The 20,437-nt window shown below is 40.9% G+C and overlaps 1 pseudogene, besides 2 other annotated features; it reads left to right on the top strand.

Annotated features, from left to right (window-relative positions):
- Window positions 1,718-2,219: an enhancer, noted in NCBI's record as "NANOG hESC enhancer chrY:9920919-9921420 (GRCh37/hg19 assembly coordinates)". NCBI's record gives its function as "activates a minimal SCP1, AML or CMV promoter by ChIP-STARR-seq in naive H9 embryonic stem cells {active_cell/tissue: H9 hESC(naive)}" and the evidence as "EXISTENCE:reporter gene assay evidence [ECO:0000049][PMID:30033119]".
- Window positions 13,611-14,201: an enhancer, noted in NCBI's record as "OCT4-NANOG hESC enhancer chrY:9908937-9909527 (GRCh37/hg19 assembly coordinates)". NCBI's record gives its function as "activates a minimal SCP1, AML or CMV promoter by ChIP-STARR-seq in primed H9 embryonic stem cells {active_cell/tissue: H9 hESC(primed)}" and the evidence as "EXISTENCE:reporter gene assay evidence [ECO:0000049][PMID:30033119]".
- On the top strand, window positions 16,333-19,136 carry TSPY5P (testis specific protein Y-linked 5, pseudogene; annotated as a pseudogene).

Below are 20,437 nucleotides of genomic sequence, written 5' to 3'. Positions count from 1 at the left end.
TTTTGAAACAATCTTTTTGTAGAATGTGGAAGTGGATATTTGGAGTGCTTTGAGGCCTATTGTGGAAAATGAAATATCTTCACTCTAAAATTGGACAGAAGCATTCCCAGAAACTTCTTTGCGATGTGTGCATTCAACTCAGAGAGTTGAATCTTTCTTTTGATTGAGCAATTATGAAACACTCTTTTTGTGGAATCTGCAAGTGGATATTTGGAGAGCTTTTTGGCCACTAGTGGAAAAGGCAACATCTTCAAATAAAAACTATACAGCAGCATTCTGAGAAACTTCTTTGTGATGTGTGCATTCATCTCAGAGAGATGAACCTTTCTTTTGATTGAGCAGTTTTGAAAAACTCTTTTTGAAGAATCTGTAAGTGGATATTTGGAGTGATTTGGGGCCGATGGTGGAAAAGGAAGTATCTTCAAATAAAAACTAGACAGAAGCATTCTGAGAAACTTCTTTGGATGAGTGCATTCATTTCACAGAATTGAAACTTTCTTTTCATTCACCAGTTTTCAAACACTCTTTTTGTAGAATCTGCAAGAGGATATGTGGAGTGCTTTGAGGCCAATGGTGGAGAAGGAAGTATCTTCGCATAAGAACCACACAGAAGCATTCTGAGAAACTTTTTTGTGATGTGCTCATTCATCTTACAGAATTCAACATTACTTTTGATTGAGCAGCTTTGACACACTCTTTTAGTAGAATCTCCAAGAGGATATTTGGAGCGCTTTGAGGCCTAATGGGGAAAAGTAAATATCTTCACATAAAAACTACACAAAAGCATTCTAAGAAACTGCTTTGTGATGTGTCCATTTATCCCACAGAGTTGTACCTTTTTCTTTGGATTGCACAATTTGGACTCTGTGTTTTTGTGGTATCTGCAAATCGATATTTGGAGGGGTTTGAGGCCCACAGTGGAAAAAGTAATATCTTCATATAAAAACTAGACAGAAACATTTTGAGAAACTACTTTGTGATGTGTGTATTCAGCTCACAGAGTTGAACATTTCTTTTAATGGAGCAGTTTTGAAACACTCTTTTTGTACAATCTGCAAGTGGATATTTTGATTGCTTTGTAGCCTCTGGGGTAAAAGCAAATTTCTTCATATAAAAACTAGACAGTAGGATTCTGTGGAACGTCTTTGTGATGTGTGCATTCATCTCACCGAGTTGAACCTTTCTTTTGATTGAGCAGTTTTGAAACACTCTTTTTGTAGAATCTGCAAGTGGATATGTGAAGCGATTTGAAGCCTATGGTGGAAAAGGAAATATCTTCACATAAAAACTAGACAGAGGCATTCTCAGAAACTTCTTTGTGATGTGTGCATTCAACTCACAGAGTTGAACCTATCTGTAGATTGAGCAGTTTAGAATCTCTCTTTTTGGAGAATCTGCATGTGGATATTTGGAGCCCTTCACGCCTTATGGTAGAAAAGGAAATATGTTCAAATAAAAACTATGCGGAAGCATTCAGAGAAACTTCTTTGGATGAGTGCATTCTTCAAACAGAGTTGAAACTTTCTTTGGATTGTGCAGTTTTGAAACATTCTTTTCATAGAATCTGGAAGTGGATATTTGGAGGGCTTTGATTGCTATCTTGGAGACGGAGATATCTTCACATAAAAACTACACAGAAGCATTCTTAGAAACTTCTTTGAGAGGTATGCATTCAACTCAGAGTTGAACCTGTCTTTTGATTGAGCCGTTATGAATCTCTCTTTTTGCAGAATCTGCAAGTGGGTATTAGGAGCCCTTTGAGGCCTACTTGGGAAATCAAATATCCTCACATAAAAACTACAGAGAGGCATTCTGAGAAACTTCTTTGTGATGTGTGCATTCAACTCACAGAGTCGAACCCATCTTTTCATTAAGCAGTTTTAAATCTCTCTTTTTGCAGGATCTGAGGGTGGATATTTGTAGACATCTGAGGCCTATTGTGGAAAAGCAAATATCTTCACATAAAAACTACACGAAAGCATTCTGAGAAACTTCTTTGTGATGTGTGCATTCAACTCACTGAGTTGAACCTATCTTTTGATTGAGAGAAGCATTCTGAGAAACTCCCTTTGATGTGTGCATTCATCTCACAGGGTTGAACCTATCTTATGATTGAGCAGTTTTGAAACACTCTTTTTGTAGAATCTGCCAGTGGATGTTTGGAGCGCTTTGAGTCCTAACGTGGAAAAGCAAACATCTTCACCTAAAATTCTGAAAGTAAATTCTGAGAAACTTCTTTGTGATGTATGCATTCATTTCACAGAGTTGAACATTTCTTTTGATTAAGCCGTATTGAAACACTGTTTTTGTATGATCTGCAAGTGTATCTTTGGAGCTATTTGAGGCCTACAGTGGAAAAGGAAATATCTTCACATAAAAACTACACAGAAGCATTCTGAGAAACTGATTTGTGATGTGCGCATTCAACTCACAGAGTTGAACCTATCTTTTCAATGAGCAGTTTAGCATCTCTCTTGTAGAATCTGCAAGTGGGTATTTGGAGCCCTTTTCACCCTATGGTGGAAAAGTAAATATCTTCAAATAAAAACTACACAGAAGTGTTCAGAGAAACTTCTTTGTGATGAGTGCATTCACCACACAGAGTTGAACCTTTCTTTGGATTGAGCAGTTTTGAAACAGTCTTTTCGTAGAATCTGGAAGTGGCTATTTGGAGGGATTTGAGGACTATATTGGAGAAAAAGATATCTTCACATAAAAACTACAGTGAAGAATTTGAGAAACTTCTTTGTGAGGTGTGTATTCAACTAACAGAGTTGAAACTATCTTTTGATTGAGCTGTTTTGAATCTCTTTTTGCAGAATCTGCAAGTGGATATTAGGAGTGCTTTGAGGCCTACTGTGGAAAATAAAATAGCTTCACATAAAAACTACACAGAAGCATTCTGAGAAACTGCTTTGTGATGTGTGCATTCAACTCACAGAGTTGAAACTATATTTTGATTGAGCAGTTTCGAATCTCTGTTTTTGCAGAATCTGTTACTGGATATTTGGAGGGTTTTGAGGCCAACTGTGGAAAATCAAATATCTTCACATAAAAACTACACAGAAGCATTCTGAGAAGCTTCTTTGTGATGTGTGCATTCAAGTCACAGAGTTGAATCTATCTTTTGGTTGAGCAGTTTTGAAACTCTCTTTTTGTAGAATCTACAATTGCATATTTGGAGTCTTTTGTGGCCTATGGTGAAAAAGGAAATATCTTCACATAAAATCTACACAGAAGCATTCTAAGAAACTTATTTGTGATGTGTGCATTCATCTCAGAGAGTTGAAACTTTCTTTTGATTGAGCAGTTTAGAAGCACTCTTTCAGTAGAATCTGCAAGTGGATATTTGGAGCCCTTTGTGGCCTGTTGTGGAAAAGGAAATATCCTCACATAAAAACTACACAAAAGCATTCTGAGAAATTCCTTTTTGATGTGCGCATTCCTCTCACAGGATTGAACTCTTCTTTTGATTGAGCAGTTTTTAAACATTATTTTTGTAGAATCTGGAAGTGGATATTTGGAGGGCTTGGAGGTCAATTTTGGAAAAAAAGATATCTTCAAATAAAAACTACACAGAAATCTTCTGAGAAACTTCTTTGTTATGTGTGTCTTCAACTCACAGTGTTGAACCTATCTTTTGATTGAGCAGTTTTGAATCTCTCTTTTTGCAGAATCTGCAAGGGGATGTTTAGAGAGCTTTGAGGTCTACTGTGGAAAATCAAATATCTTCACACAAATACTACACGGAAGCATTCTGAGAAACTTCTTTGTGATGTGTGCATTCAACTCACAGAGTCAAACCTGTCTGTTGATTGAGCAGTTTTGAAATCTCTCTTTTTGTAGAATCTGCACGTGAATATTTGGAGCCCTTTGAGGCCTACTGTGGAAAAGCAAATATCTTCACATAAAAACTACACAGAAGCATTCTGAGAAACTTCTTTGTGGTGTGTGCATTTATTTCACAGTGTTGAATCTTTCTTTTCATTGAGCAGTTTTGAAACACTCTTTTTGTACAATCTGCTAGTGGATATTTGGAGCAATTTGAGGCCTATTGTGGAAAAGGAAATATCTTCATATAAAAACTACACAGAAGCATTCTCACAGAATTCTTTGCGGTGAGTGAATTCATCACACAGAGTGCAACCTTTCTTTCGATTGAGCAGTTCAGAAACACTCTTTTTGTAGAACTGGAAGTGGATATTTGGAGGGCTTTGGGGCTTATTTTGGAAAAGGAAATATCTTCCCATAAAAACTACACAGAAGCATTTTGAGAAACTTCTTTGTTATGTGTGCATTCAACCCACAGAGTGGAAACTATCTTTTGATTGAGCAGTTTTGAATCTCCATTTTTGCAGAATCTGCAAGTGGATATTTGGAGCACTTTGAGACATACCATGGAAAAGCAAATATCTTCACATAAAAACTACACAGAAGCATTCTGAGAAATTTCTTTGCCACGTGTGCAGTCAACTTACACAAGGATGAACCTATCTTTTGATTGACCAGTTTTGAATCTCTCTTTTTGAAGAATCTGTAAGTGGATATTTGGAGAGCTTTTAGGCCTATTGTGGAAAAGGAAATATCTCCACATAAAAACTACATATAGAAATTCCTAGAAACTTCTTTGTGATGTGTGCATTCAACTCACAAAGTTGAACCTATCTTTTGATTGAGCAGTTTTGAATCTCTCTTTTTGTAGTTACTGCCATTGGATATTTGGGGTCCTTTGTGGCCTATGGTGGAAAAGGAAATATATTCAAATAAAAACTACAGAGAAGCATTATGAGAAACTTATTTGTGATGTGTACATTTATCTCACAGGGTTGAACCTATGTTATGATTCAGCAGTTATCAAACACTCTTTTTGTAGAATCTGCAAGTGGATATTTGGTGTGTTTTGAGGCCTATTGTGGAAAAGCAAATGTCTTCACATAAAAACTACACAGAAACATTCAGAGAAATTTCTTTGTGATGGGTGCATCTATCACACAGAGTTGAACCTTTCTTTTCAATGAGCTGTTTCGAGATGAATGCACACATCACAAAGAAGTTTCTCAGATTGCTTCTGTCTAGATTCTATATGAAGATATTTCCTTTTCTGCCTTAGGCTGCAAAGTGCTCCAAATGTCCACTTGCAGATTCTACAAAAAGAGTGTGTCCAAGCTGCTCAGTGAAAAGAAAGGTTCAACTCTGGGAGATGAACACACATGTCACAAAGAAGTTTCTCAGAATTATTCTGTATAGTTTATATTGGAAAATACTACCTTTTCCACCATAGGCCTCAAAGCGCTCCAAGTGTCCACTTGCAGATTCTACAAAAAGAGTGTTTCAAAACTGCTCAATCAAAAGATCGGTCCAGCTCTCTGAGTTGAATGCACACATCACAAAGAAGTTTCTCAGAATTTCTCTGTGTAGTTTTTATGTGGAGACATTTCCTTTTCCACAATAGGCCTAAAAACTCTGCAAATATCCACTTGCAGATTCTGCAAGAAGAGAGATTCAAAACTGGTCAATCAAAAGATAGGTTCGACCTTGTGAGTTGAATACACACGTGACAAAGAAGTTTCTCAGAATGTTTCTGTGTAGTTTTTAGGTGAAGATATTTGCTTTTCCACGGTAAGCCTCAAAACGCTCCAAATATCCGCTTGCAGATTCTGCAAAAAGAGAGATTTAAAAGTGCCCCATCAAAAGATAGTTTCCACTCTGTGAGTTGAATAGACACATAACAAAGAAGTATCTCATAATGCTTCTGTGTAGTTTTTATGTGAAGATAGTTCCTTTCCAAAATAAGCCTCAAAGCCCTCCAAATATCCACTTCCAGATTCGACAAAAAGAGTGTTTCAGAACTGATCAATCAAAATAAAGCTTCCACTCTGTGTGATGAATTCACTCATAACAAATAAGTTTGAAAGAATGCTTCTTTGTAGTTTTTATGTGAAGATATTTCCTTTTCCACAATAGACCTCAAATCGCTCCATGTATCCACTAGCAGATACTACAAAAAGAGTGTTTCAAAGCTGCTCAATCAAAAGAAAGGTTCAACACTGTGAGATGAATGTACACATCACAAAGAAGTTTCTCAGAATGCTTCTGTGTACTTTTTATGTGAAGATATTTTCTTTTCCACCATAGGCTTTAAATCGCTCCAAATTTCCAATTGCACATTCTACAAAAAGAGAGTTTCAAAACTGCTCAATCAAAACAAATGTTGAACTCTGTGAGATGAATGCACACATCGCAAAGAAGTTTCTCAGATTGCTGCTGTCTAGAATTTATGAGAAGATATTTCCTTTTCTAACATAGGCCACAAAGCGCTACAAATGTCCACATGCAGATCCTACAAAAAGAGTGTTTCAAAACTGCTCAATCAAAAGAAAGGTTCAACTCTGTGAGATGAAAGCCCACATCACAAAGAAGTTTATCAGAATTATTCTGTCTGGTTTATATGTGAACATATTTCTTTTTCCACCATAGACCTCAAAGCGCTCCAAATGTCCACTTGCAGATTCTACCAAAAGAGAGTTTCAAAACTGGTTAATCAAAAGAATGGTTTAACTGTGAGATGAAAGCCCTCATCACAAAGAATTTTCTCAGATTGCTTCTGTCTAGATTTTATGTGAAGATATTTCCTTTTCTACCATCGGCCACAAAGCGCTCCAAAGGTCCACTTGCAGATTCTACAAAAAGAGACTTTCAGAACTGCTCAATCAAAAGAAATGTTTAACTCTGTGAGATGAATGCACACGTCATGAAGAAGTTTATCAGATTGCTTCTGTCTAGATTTTATGTGAAGATATTTCCTTTTCGAACTTAGGCCGCAAATGGCTCCAAATATCCTCTTGCAGATTCTACAAAAAGAGTGTTTCCAAATTTCTCAATCAAAAGAAAGGTTCAACTCTGTGAGGTGAACACACACATCACAAAGAATTCTTCTGACTAGTTTTTATGTGAAGATATTTCCTTTTCCACCATAGGCCTCAAAGCGATACTAATGTCCACTTTCAGATTCTACAAAAAGAGAGTTTCAAAACTGCTCAATCAAAAGAAAGTTTTAACTCTGTGAGATGAATGCACACATCACAAAGAAGTTTCTCAGATTGCTTATGTCTAGATATTATGTGAAGACATTTCCTTTTCTGCCATAGGCTGCAAAGCTCTCCAAATGTCCACTTGCAGATTCTACAAAAAGAGTGTTTCCAAACTGCTCAATCAAAAGAAATGTTCAACTCTGTGAGATCAACTCACGCATCACAGAGAAGTTTCTCATAATTCTTCTGTGTAGTTTTTATGTGAAGATATTTCCTTTTCTACCATAGGCCTGAAAGTGCTCCAAATGTCCACTTGCAGCTTCTACAAAAAGAGTGTTTCAAAGTGCTCAATCAAAAGAAAAGTTTAACTCTGTGACATGAATGTATACATCATGAAGAAGTTTCTCAGATTGCTTCTGTCTAGATTTTATGTGAATATAGTTCCTTTTCTACCATAGACCACAAAGCGCTCCAAATCTCCACTTGCAGATTCTACAAAAAGAGTGTTTCCAAACTGCTCAATCAAAAGAAATTTTCAACTCTGTGAGATGTGCCCACACATCACAGAGAAGTTACTCTGAATTCTTCTGTCTAGGTTTTATGTGAAGATGTGTCCTTTTCCGCCACAGGCCTCAAAGCATTCCAAATGTCCACTTGCAGATACTACAAAAAGAGAGTTTCAAAACTGCTCAATCAAAAGAAATGTTTAACTCAGTGAGACGAATGCACTCATTACAAAGAAGTTTCTCAGATTTCTTCTGTCTAGATTTTATTTGAAGATATATCATTTTCCACCATAGGCCACACGGCGCTAGAAAAGTCCACTTGCAGATTCTACAAAAAGAGTATGTCAATACTAGTCCATCAAAAGAAAGGTTCAACTCTGGGAGATGAACGCACACCTCACAGAGAAGTTTCTCAAAATGCTTCTATCTATTTTTATGTGAAGATATTTCCTTTTCCACCACAGGCATCAAAGTGCTCCAAATGTCCACTTGCAGATACTACAACAAGAGAGTTTCCAAACTGTTCAATCAAAAGAAAAGGTTAACTCTGTGAGATGAATGCACCCTTCACAAAGAAGTTTCCCAGATTGCTATTGTCTAGATTTTATGTGAAGATGTTACCTTTTCTACCATAGGCCACAAAGCGCTCTAAATGTCCACTTGCAGATTCTACAGATAGTTTCTAAACTGCTCTGTCAAAAGAAAGATTTATCTCTGTGAGATAAATACATCACAAAGAAGCTTCTCAGATTGCTTCTGTATAGATAGCATGTGAAGATATTTCCTTCTGTACCATAAGCCGCAAAGCTCTCCAAACTTCCACTTGCAGATTCTACAAAAAGAATGTTTCCAAACTGCTCAATCAAAAGAAAAATTCAACTTTGTGAGATGAATGCACACATCACAAAGGAGTTTCTCAGAATTCTTCGGTCTACATTTTCTAAGAAGATATTTCCTTTTCCAACATAGACCTCAAAGCGCTTCAAATGTCTACTTGCAGATTTTACAGAAAGAGAGTTTCAAAACTGCTCAATCAAAACAAATGTTTAACTCTGTGAGATGAATGCACACATCAAAAAGAAGTTTCTCAGATTGCTTCTTTCTAGATATTATGTGAAGATATTTCCTTTTCTACCATAGGCTGCAAAGAGCTCCAAATGTCCACTTGCAGATTCTACAAAAACGATGTTTCCAAACTGCTCAATCAAAAGAAAGATTCAACTCTGTGAGATGAACGCTCACATTACAAAGTAGTTTCTCAGAATTCTTCTGTCTAGTTTTTATGTGAAGATATTTCCTTTTCCACCATAAGCCTCAAAGCGCTCCAAATTTCCACTTGCAGATTCTACGAAAAGATAGTTTCAAAAATGCTCAATCAAAAGAACCATTTAACTCTGTAGGATGAATGCACACATCAGAAAGAAGTTTCTCAGATTGCTTCTGTCTAGATTTTATGTGAAGGTATTTCCTTTTCTACCACAGGCCTCAAAGTGCTCCAAATGTCCACTTGCAGATTCTACATAAACAGTGTTTCCAAACTGTTCAATCAAAAGAAAGGCTCAACTCTGTGAGATGAACACACACATCACAAAGAAGTTTGTCAGAATTCTTCTGTGTAATTTTTATGTGAGGATATTACCTTTTCCACCATAGGCCTCAAAGCGCTCCAAATGCCCACTTGCAGATTCTACAAAAAGAAAGTTTCAGAACTTCTCAATCAAAAGAAAGGTTTGACTCTGTGAGATGAATGCACACATCAGAAACAAGTTTCTCAGATTGTTTCTGTCTAGATTTTGTGTGAAGATACTTCCTTTTCTACCATTGGCTGCAAAGGACTCGAAATGACCAATTGCCAGATCCTACAAAAAGAGTGTTTCCAAACTGCTCAATCAAAAGAAAGGTTCAACTCCATGAGATGAATGCAAACATCACAAAGGAATTTCCCAGAATTGTTCTGTCTAGTTTATATGTGAAGATATTTCCTTTACCACCATAGGCCTCAAAACGCTCCAAACGTCCAATTGCAGAATCTACAAAAAGAGAATTTCAAAACTGTCCAATCAAAAGAAAGGTTTATCTCTGTGAGATGAATGCATACATCTCAAAGAAGTTTCTCAGATTGCTTTTGTTAAGATTTTATGTGAAGATATTTCCTTTTCTACTGCAGGGCACAAAGCTCTCCAAATGTCCACTTGCAGATTCTATGAAAAGAGAGTTTCAAAAATGCTCAAGCAAAAGAAACATTTAAAGCTGTGGGATGAATGCACACATCACAAAGTAGTTTCTCAGATTGCTTCTGTGGAGATTCTATGTGAAGGTGTTTCCTTTTCTACCATCAGCCTCAAAGCACTCAAAATATTCACTTGCAGATTCTACAAAAAGAGGGTTTCCAAACTGCTCAGTCAAAGGAAGGTTCAACTCTGTGAGATGAATGCACACATCATGAAGAAGTTTCTCATAATTCTTCTGTCTAATTTTTATGTGAAGATATATCATTTTCTACCATAGTCCTCAAGGTGCTCGAAATGTCCACTTGCAGATTCTAAAAAAAAAAAAAATATTTCAATACTGGTCCATCAAAAGAAAGGTTGAACTCTGGGAGATGAATGCACACATCACAAAGAAGTTTCTCAGATATCTTTAGTCTAGTTTTTATGTGAAGATATTTCCTTTTCCAACACAGGGCTCAAAGCGCTCCAAATGTCCACATGCAGATTCTACAAAAAGAGAGTTTAAAAAACTACTCAATGAAAAGAAAAGTATAACTCTGTGAGATGAATGTACACATCACCAAGAAGTTTCTCAGATATCTTCTGTCTAGATTTCATGTGAAGATATTTCCTTTTTTACCATAGGCCGCAAAGCGCTCAAAATGTCCACTTGCAGATTTTACAAAAAGAGTGTTTCCAAACTGCACAATCACAAGAAAGGTTCAACTCTGGGAGATGTATGCACACATCCAGATAAGTTTCTCAGAATGTTTCTGTCTAGTTCTTATATAAAGGTATTCCCTTTTCTACCATAGGCCACAAAGCACTCCAAATGTCCACTTGCACGTTCTACAAAAAGATTGTTTCCAAACTCCTCAATCAAAAGAAAGTTTCAATTCTGGGAGATGAATGCACACATCACAACGAAGTTTCTCAGATTTCCTCTATCTAGATTTTATGTTAAAATATTTCCTTTTCTATGATAGGCCACAAAAAGCTTCAAATGTCCACCTGCAGATTCTACAAAAAGAGTGTTTCCAAACTCCTCAATCAAAAGAAATGCTCAACTCTGTGAGATGAATGCACACATCACAAAGTGGTTTCTCAGAATACTTCTGTCTAGTTTTTATGTCAAGGATTTCCTTTTCCACCATAGGCCTCAAAGAGCTCCAAATGTCCACTTGCAGATTCAACAAAAAGAGTATTTCAAAACTAGTCCATCAAAAGAAATTTTCAACTCTGTGAGATGAATGCACACATCACAAAGAAGTTTCTCTGATTGCTTCTGTCTGTATTTTATGTGAAGATATCTCCTTTTTTACCACAGGCTGCAGAGCGCTCCAAATCCCAATTTGCAGATTCTACAAAAAAAGTGTTTCCTAATGCTCAATCAAAAGAAAGGTTCAACTATTTGAGATGCACGCACACATCACAAGTAAGTTTTGCAGAATTCTTGTCAAGTTTTAATCTGAAGATATTTCCTCTTCCACCATAGGCCTCAAAGTGCTTCAAATATCCACTTGCAGATTCTACAAAAAGAGCCTTTCAAAACTGCACAATCAAAGGAAAGGTTTAACTCTGTGAGATGAATGCACACATCAAAAAGAAATTTTTCATATTGCTTTGGTTTAGATTTCACGTGAAGTTATTTCCTTTTTCACCATAGGGGTCAAAGCCTTCCAAAAGTCCACTTGCAAATTCTGCATAAAGAGAGTGTCGAAAGTGCCCAATCCAAAGAAAGGGTTAACTCTGGGAGATGAATTCACACATCCCACAGAAGTTTCTCAGATTGCTTCTGTCTAGATTTTATGTGAAGATATTTCCTGTTCTACCATAGGCCACATAGCGCTCCAAATGTCCACTTGCAGATTCTACAAAAAGACTGTTTCCAAACTGCTCAACCAAAAGAAAGGTTCAGCTGTTTGAGATGAATGCACACATCACAAAAAAGTTCCTCAGAATTCTTCTGTCTTTTTTTGTGTGTGTGAAGATATTTTCTTTTCCACCATAAGCCTCAAGGAGCTCGAAATGTCCACTTGCAGATTCTACAAAAAGCATATTTCAAAACTGCTCCTTCAAAAGAAAGGTTCAACTCTGTGAGATGAATGCACACATCACAAAGAAGTTTATCAGAATGCTTCTGTCTAGATTTTATGTGAAGATATTTCCTTCTCTACCATAGGCTGCAAAGCACTCCAAATGCCCACTTGCAGATTCTATGAAAAGAGTGTTTCCAAACTGCTCACACAAAAGAAACGTTAAACTCTGTGAGATGAATGCACACATCTCAAAGATGTTTCCCAGAATTATTCTGTCTAGTATTTATCCAAAGATATTTCCTTTTCCACCATAGGCTTCAATTCGCTCCAAATGTCCACTTACGGATTCTTCAAAAAGAGAGTTTCAAAACTACTCAATCAAAACAAAGGTTTAAATTTGTGAGATCACTGCACACATCACAAAGAAGTTTATCAGAATGCTTCTGTCTAGATTTTATGTGAAGATATTTCCTTTTCTAACATAGACCGCAAAGCGCTCCAAATGTCCACTTGCACATTCTCCAAAAAGAGTGTTTCCAAACTGGTCAATCAAAAGAAAGGTTCATCTCTCTGGGGTGAACGCACACATCACAAATAAATTTCTCAGAAAGCTTCCATCTAGTTTTTACATGAAGATATTTCCTTTTCCACCATAGGCATCAAAGCGCCCCGAAAGTCCACTTGCAGATTCTAGAAAAAGAGAGGTCAAAAACTGCTGAGCCAAAAGAAAAGTTCAACTCTGTGAGAAGAATGCACACATCACAAAGAAGTTTCTCAGATTACTTCTATCTAGATTTTATGTGAAGATATTTCCTTTTATATCATAGACTGTATAGCGCTCTAAATATTCACTTGCAGATTCTACACAAAGAGTGTTTCCAAACTGCTCAATCAAAAGAAAGCTTCAACTCTGTGAAATGAACCCACACATCACTAAGAAGTTTCTCAGAATTCTTCTGTCTAGTTTTTATGTGAAGATATTTCCTTTTCCACCATAGGCCTCAAGATGCTCAAAATGTCCACTTGCAGATTCTACAAAAAGTGTATTTCAAAACTCTTCCTTCCAAAGAAAAGTTCAACTTTGGGAGATGAATGTACACATCACAAAGAAGTTTCTCAGGTTGCTTCTGTGTAGGTTTTATGTTAAGATATTTCCTTTTCTACCATAGGCCGCCAAGTGCTCCAAATATCCACTTGCAGATTCTACAAAAAGAGTGTTTCCAAACTGCTCAATCAAAAGAATGACTGAACTCTGTGAGATGAATGCACACATCACAAAGAAGTTTCTCAGAATTCTTCTGTCTAGTTTTTATGTGAAGATATTTCCTTTTCCACCATAGGCCTGAAAGAGCTCCAAATATCCACTTGCAGATTCAACAAAAAGAGCATTTCAAAACTGGTCCATCAAAAGAAAGTTTCAAATCTGTGAGATGAATGCACACATCACAAAGAAGTTTCTCAGGTTGCTTCTATCTAGATTTTATGTGAAGATATTTCCTTTTCTACCATAGTCTGCAAAGTGCTCCAAATCTCCATTTGCAGATTATACAAGAAGAGTGTTTCCAAACTGCTCAATCAAAAGAAAAGTTCAACTCTGTGAGACGAACGCACGCATCACAAATAAGTTTCTCAGAATTCTTCTGTCTGGTTTTAATCTGAAGATATTTCCTCTTCCACCACAGGCCTCAAAGTGCTCCAAGTGTCCACTTTCAGATTCTACAAAAGGAGAGTTTTAAAACTGCACCATCAAAGGAAAGGTTTAACTCTCTGAGATGAATGCAGACAACAAAAAGAAGTTTCTCAGATTGCTTCTGTCTAGATTTCATGTGAAGATATTTCCTTTTCTACCATAGGCTGCAAAGCGCTCCAAATGTCCACTTGCAGATTCTACAAAAAGGGTTTTTCCAAACTGCTCAATCAAAAGAAAAAGTTAACTCTGTGAGATGAACGCACACATGACAAAGAAGATTCTCAGAATTCTTCTGTCTAGTTTCTACCTGAAGGTATTTCCTTTTCCACCGTAGGCCTCAAAGCTCTCCAAATGTCCACTTGCAGATTCTAGAAAAAGAGAGGTTCAAAACTGCTCAATCAAAAGAAAGTTTCAACTCTGTAAAATGAACCCACTCTTCACTAAGAAGTTTCTCAGAATTCTTCTATCTAGTTTTTATGTGAAGATATTTCCTTTTCCACCATAGGCATCAAAGCACTCCAAATGTCCACTTGCAGATTCTACAAAAAGAGAGTTTCAAAACTGCTCAATCAAAAGAAAGGTTTAACTCTGTGAGATGAATGCACACATCACAAAGAAGTTTCTCAGATTGCTTCCATGTAGATTTTATGTTAAGACATTTCCTTTTCTACCATAGGCCACCAAGCGCTCCAAATATTCACTTGCAGATTCTACAAAAACAGTGCTTCCAAACTCCTCAATCAAAAAAAAGACTGAACTCTGTGAGATGAATGCATGCATCACAAAGAAGGTTCTCAGAATTCTTCTGTCTAGTTTTTATGTGAAGATATTTCTTTTTCCACCTTAGGCATTTAAGAGCTCCAAATGTCCACTTGCAGATTCAACAAAAAGAGTATTTCGAAACTGGCACATCAAAAGAAAGTTTCATCTCTATCAGGTGAATGCATACATCACAAAGAAGTTTCTCAGATTGCTTGTATCTAGATTTTATGTGAAGATATCTCCTTTTCTACCATAGGTCACAAAGCGCTCTAAATCTCCATTTGCAGATTATACAAAAAGAGTGTTTCCAAACTGCTCTATCAAAAGAAAGGTTCAACTCTGTGAGATGAACGCATGCATCGCAAATCAGTTTCTCAGAATTCTTCTGTCTGGTTTTAATCTGAAGATATATCCTCTTTCACCATAGGCCTCAAAGCGCTCCAAATGTCCACTTTCAGATTCTACCTGGCATGGGTGTGCAGAGTCCCCTTCCTCCAGGGACTTTCCCAGGGAAAAATGCCCTTCAACTTTGTGCTGTGTGTGAAGGGTCCTTGGAGCCGCGATTCTCTCTTGTGAGTGCTGTGCTTGGCTCCCCATCCCTATCAACTGCTCCCAGGGCTCTGACAGCAATCTGCCCTCCTATCTGCAGGAAACTGACCTCAGCTCCCACCTGTCCCCCATCCCCTGCCTCCTGGCTGACCACATGTGCCTCCCTCCTGGCTCCTCCCCCCACCCATCCCGCACAACCCCCCCAAAGCCTGATGCCCAACCCCTGCTGCCAGCCATCCCAAATGGGCTGCTGCAAGGATATGGCTCTGGCCCAGAAGCTGGAGATGCCCTGTGGCCTGAGGCATTCATGGAGCCCAGCTCCAAGTGAAGACCTCCAGTGAGCTCATTGACGGCCTGGGTGTGCTGCCTCCAGGGCCAGGCTGTGCCCACTGGTCCTCCTTCTGCCACTTCACATCGGTCTCCTCCTCAACCACCACCTCCACCTCAGCCATTAGGTCTTCCACCATAAGCACCTTCTCCTTTTCCAAGGCCTCCTCCTTGATCTGTACCCCGGCCTTCCTCTCCAGCAGAGCCTCCAGCCTGAACATGGTGTCCTCCTGGGTGCTCCGACAGACCCCGGCCTGCGCAGCCCAGCGCATCCCCAGCACCCCTAGGCTCTGGGGGCTGCTCCACAGGAGGGCTGCTCCACAAGAGGCCTGCTCCCTGAAAGTCCCGTGGGCCTCACCCTGCTGAGAACCTAGTACCACACCTACATGGACCCAGGTTTCCTGAAGGGCCCCGCTGGGCCCGCAGATCGCCACTCTCGCCATGGGGCTCAGGTCCCCACCAGGGTCAACTGCGCACAGGAGTTCAGGATCTAGAGGCCCATGTCCTGGGCTTTCAGAGCCCCGCCAGCAGGCACTGCAGACGTTGCTGCACGTGCGGGAGCCTCTGGGTCGGCAAGGCAGTGCACAACAGCAGGCACGCAGGCTGTCGGTAGCCAACCCTGGCGGCTGGCCTCCAGTGTGCCCGGGACATAGGATGCGAAGCCTTTTAGAATGCTCCTGGGAGTACAGCATTCTCAAGGAGGAAGCATGGTACTCGGAGCCTGTATTTGCCTAGACCTGCGAGAGTGCTTGCCAGGGTTCCGACCTCTGGAGCAGACGAATTCCACCTCAGCACAACCAGGCGACTTTCCTCCCAAGAGCTGGCCCCGACCCACTTACCCCAGGCCACCCCCGCCACCCTCGCCTCAGCAGCCAGAGAGAGTTCTCCTCTGGATCTGCAATATTCTGTACCACCTACCTGGCCTGCCTAATGCAGTGAGATGTTTTCATGTGTTCCCTGTGGGTCAATAGCTTGCCATACTCAGGATATCAGTTAGGGCACTGGGCTTCCATGCCCACAATGCCAAAGGCCATGCAGCCCACTTGTGCCTGCACCTAGCGCTACCTGGCACAAGCTGCGAGGGCTTCTCAGAGGAGGCTTACCCCGGGGGGCTGGTGATGCAGGTCAGCCTGGGGAGGTGTCACCCAGGGAGACGCCCACCACCATCGCACTGATTGGTCTTGCCGGGAAGTGGGCAGTAGTGGCGCGGCTCCCAGCGCCCTTTGCGTGCAGTTCGTTAGGGGGCTCCTGGAAGCCCGGGGCATGTGCCCTGAGGGCCTACCCGCCCACAGGCTCCAGTAAGCACAGCAGCAGGGTGCCTGTGGTGTGGGTCGGGTGGCACAGGCTGTGGTCTGTGAGAGTCCCAAAGAGGGCACCATTTTCAGGATAGAGTCTCTGCAGGAGGAGGCGTCCGGGGCTCAGAGCAAGGCGGCGGCCTTCGGGGAGGAGGTGGTGCTAGTGCTGGATGACATAATGGTGGAGGTGGAGGTGGAGGTGGAGGTGGAGGTGGTGGCCCAGGAGGAGGCCCTCGTGGAGTGGCAGGAGGAGGCCCAGCGGGCACAGCCTGGCCCTGGGCCCATGACCCCAGAGTCTGCACTGGAGGAGCTGCTGGCCATTCAGGTGGAGCTGGAGCCAGTTAATGCCTGAGCCAGGAAGGCCTTTTCTCAGCAGTGGGAAAAGCTGGAGAGGAGGCACAAGCCGCGCCTGTACTGCACAGGCGCCATCATCCAGAACATCCCTGGCTGCTGGGCCAATGTTGTAACCTTTTCAGTATTTCTTCTGCCTTTCTAGTTGAGAGGTGCTCTTGGGGAAGTGTAAGTAACTGATGGGCAGCTCGGCGTCGATGTGATTATTTGGGGAACAACAGTGAGTTGCCGTGGACAAATGTGGCTGTAGTAAACTGGAGCAGGCGTGGGTATTATTTTCCTGCATGCGGCAGAGAAACCCTTCGTGATGCCAAGCAGCAGACGTTTGGGGCATCTTTTTGGAGAGCAGAAGCGAGTTCTCACCAGAACAGGTTTTTCTGTGAATCAAGCTATTGTTAAGGGAGTGTGATTGCTGCCCCTTGCCAGTCCGATCTGGGAATGGGCGTCTTCGGTTATAAGCATATTCTGCCACTCCTCAGACGCCAGCGACTCTTCCCAAGTCACCCCTCCGTGTGTCAGTGCAGTCAGCCTCAGAATTATATGCACTCCATGAGCCCAAGAGGCCTTAATTCAGGGGGAGGTAGAGTAGAAAGGGAGGTCATACATGGAAGCAGATCTTAGAAATTCCTTACCCAAGCCTCTGGGTGCTCTAGGTCTTCTTCCCTCTTGCTTCTAACTTTTCCTTCCATTGCATCTAAAGGCTCTTTGACCTAAAGCAGATGGCAAACCACCTCTTGATATCAGCCCTGATCAGTGACCAAGATGAAGACATGCTGAGCTACGTGATCAACTTGGAGGTGAGGCTGGGAAGACTGAGGCTAGAGGGTTTAGTGGGGGAGGGTAAGGGAAATAATTCATTCCTGTAAGCAACAGTGGGCACCTCACCCAAAAAGATGTTTAAGCTTTCTCCACCTTGTTCTGACAGGTGAAAGAAGTGAAACATCCCATTCATCTCTGCAAGATCATGTTGTTATTTTGGAGTAACCCCTACTTCCAGAATAAAATGGTGACCAAGGAATATCTTGGGAATGTCACAGGTGACAAGTGGCTTCCAGGATGGGTAGTGGAAGGAAGATGATGGGTGGATAATTGCCAATGTGATCCAGCCCTCTTCACATAAAATCCTCTCTGTAGAATACAGGGCTTCTCATTCCACTCCAATTCAGTAGTATCCAGATTATGAAGTTGAGACTTATTGACCCAGACACCACAATAGCAGCCTTAACTTCTTCAACTGGTTTTCTGACCACAACTTCACAGGACCTAATAGGATTGCTGAGGTGCATCCTCACCGGGAAACATCAGGAATGACCTGGTGTGTTCCCAGCTGCTTAGGTCACCAGTCTGAGCCCTGATGAGGCCTTTCCCAATTGATTCCCCTGACAGATCCTATGTAAGGACCTGTGGCACAATCCCCTGCAATACTACAAGAGGATGAAGCCACCTGAAGAGGGAACAGAGATTTCAGGTAAGCCATTCAGTTGGAACTGGAGCTGTTTGATGCCCACTATGAGGGGGTTGACACCCCTCACTATTCAGGGAGCCTGGACTCTCATTTCAGAAATGTAGAAATTGAGGCTTATTTCATAAATGTGGAAATTCCTTGAGAGGAAGACAGAGAGGGACAGAATCCAGGACATTCAGGGCATTGAGCTGAAAAAGGCACTTTAGAGACTACACTGCATAGCAGGTTATAACTGTGGAGTCTTAAGCCCAGAGAAGTATAGTCCATGTCCAGATTCACTGAGAGGTAAAGCTGAATCATTAACTTCAATTTGTGGCACTTGATTCCATGGCTGTCAGCCCCACTGGCAGTCATCCTATCAACCCCTTAAGATTTAACTCCCTGAATGTGCCTCTTTGTCATCCTTGCCACAAACCACACAAGACTGTTTAGATTGATGGATTTTCTTAAGCTACTGCCTGATGATTCGGTGTGCTTTTTGTGAACAATGCATCTTGTTAGCTGAATCCCATCACAGAGTATACTGGGAATGGAGCAGGTATTGCAGAGAACAGTTTGTAACACATGGTAGGACGAAGTTTAAGAGATCAAAAGTGGGAAAGGGGTAGTCTTTACTCAGCAGGACCTAAAATTAAAACATTTTAAATTATGGCTCAGAGGAAATGCATTTTGACATGCGTTTGTGTTTCTCTAGGGGACTTCTGGATTTTGAGATGAATATGATGGAGCATCAGGCTTTACCTGAAACAGCAGAACTCCTACAAAGTTACTACAGTATGCAGGATGTCAGTACTCAGTATGGTCTTATGCACACGACCTAAAGGAAAAACAGATCCAGGCACAAAAAAACGCAGACAGGAAGAGGGGTTAAACTTGGATTTTATGGAATGAAAAATAAACACTATTAAGGATGTGTGACTCTGTGTGTGTGTGTGTGTGTGTGTGTGTGTGTCTGTGTATCTGTGTGTGTGGGTATGTTCATCCCGGATTCATGTGTCACAATGAATTGATCAATCCATATGTTTTATTCTTTTCATGGAAATGACCAGTCTGTGTTGGAGCTAGGCCTCTAAAGTTGTAGAGTGAATGGGTGTAGAATGTTTGGGGATTCTTCTTACAATACAGAGTTGGGGAGATACAAGAAAGAAAAGACAGTTTACCTGGAGGCTTACTTCACCCTACGGAAGCAGAGGTAGTTCATTGAAAGGGGTTAGTGGCCACTAAGATATCCAGGACCCAGTTTGCTGGGATAAGGTAACTCCAAAATCCTTCATTTTGGGTATCATCAAACACATTAAGATAGCACAGGATGATGGAAATCTTAAAGTTCACTTTCATGTTGAAATCACATGTTCTGCTTTTAAAGGTGAATGCATAATCCTTTTCTGGAACAATCAGCCTCTCAGGACCAGGGGTACCATCAATGTGAGAAGAAATGGGCATGTAAGGTGTCTGGAGGGACTATTGGAAAGGTGACAGAGGCATGTGGGAAGGCATTCAGGGTACGCCTTATTTTTTTTTTTCTGGCATAGGTGACTATGGGAAAACACAAACATGCAAAAGTGAGGGGAAGGTTGGTGGATTTGTGTAATAGAAGATTGCCAGAGGATCCATGCATGGACTCTGGGGTGGCTGCTTGCCAGGAACATCTGTGTCTATGCACAGGACAAGGGGTGGCCTCTGTCATGGATGGAGGAGGAGGATTTCAGAGTTGGGTGCAGAACTTTCTTCCCCATTCCCAGATAAAACAGATACAACATGAGCATCCCTGTCAAAGACACACTAATAGAGTGCTAACATTCCTGTCCCATATGAACTGGTCAGCCCAGCTTCTGTAAGAAGAGCTATATTGTTTCAGGAAAGAGGGTTTGACAGTCAGAAGTTCATGAATCTATTGTGCTGCCTTCAGTATGCATTCCACACCTTCTGCTCGGTATCAGCAGATGAGCTTTGAAAATCTATAGCTCAGTTTTGCCCCTGCTCTCATGCAGACAGCTGAGGCCTCTGGAGCAGGAGTTTTGACCTCTTCTGACTACTGTCCCCATGACCCACAAACACATGAGAAACAGGTTTTCTCAGCAAATTATTCCTGAAAACAGTGGGAACTCTTTGGCCCCCTCAAGCTGCCCTCTATCTTACTGTGTGCTGGTCGAAGGGCACTGTGGTCCATTACAGTAACGCTATAGTGGGAGTGGGGCAGTAGATTGGTGTG

The sequence above is a fragment of the Homo sapiens genome, chromosome Y (assembly GCF_000001405.40).
Source record: "Homo sapiens chromosome Y, GRCh38.p14 Primary Assembly".
NCBI lineage: Eukaryota > Metazoa > Chordata > Mammalia > Primates > Hominidae > Homo > Homo sapiens.
This window is presented reverse-complemented; position numbering and strand designations above follow the sequence as displayed.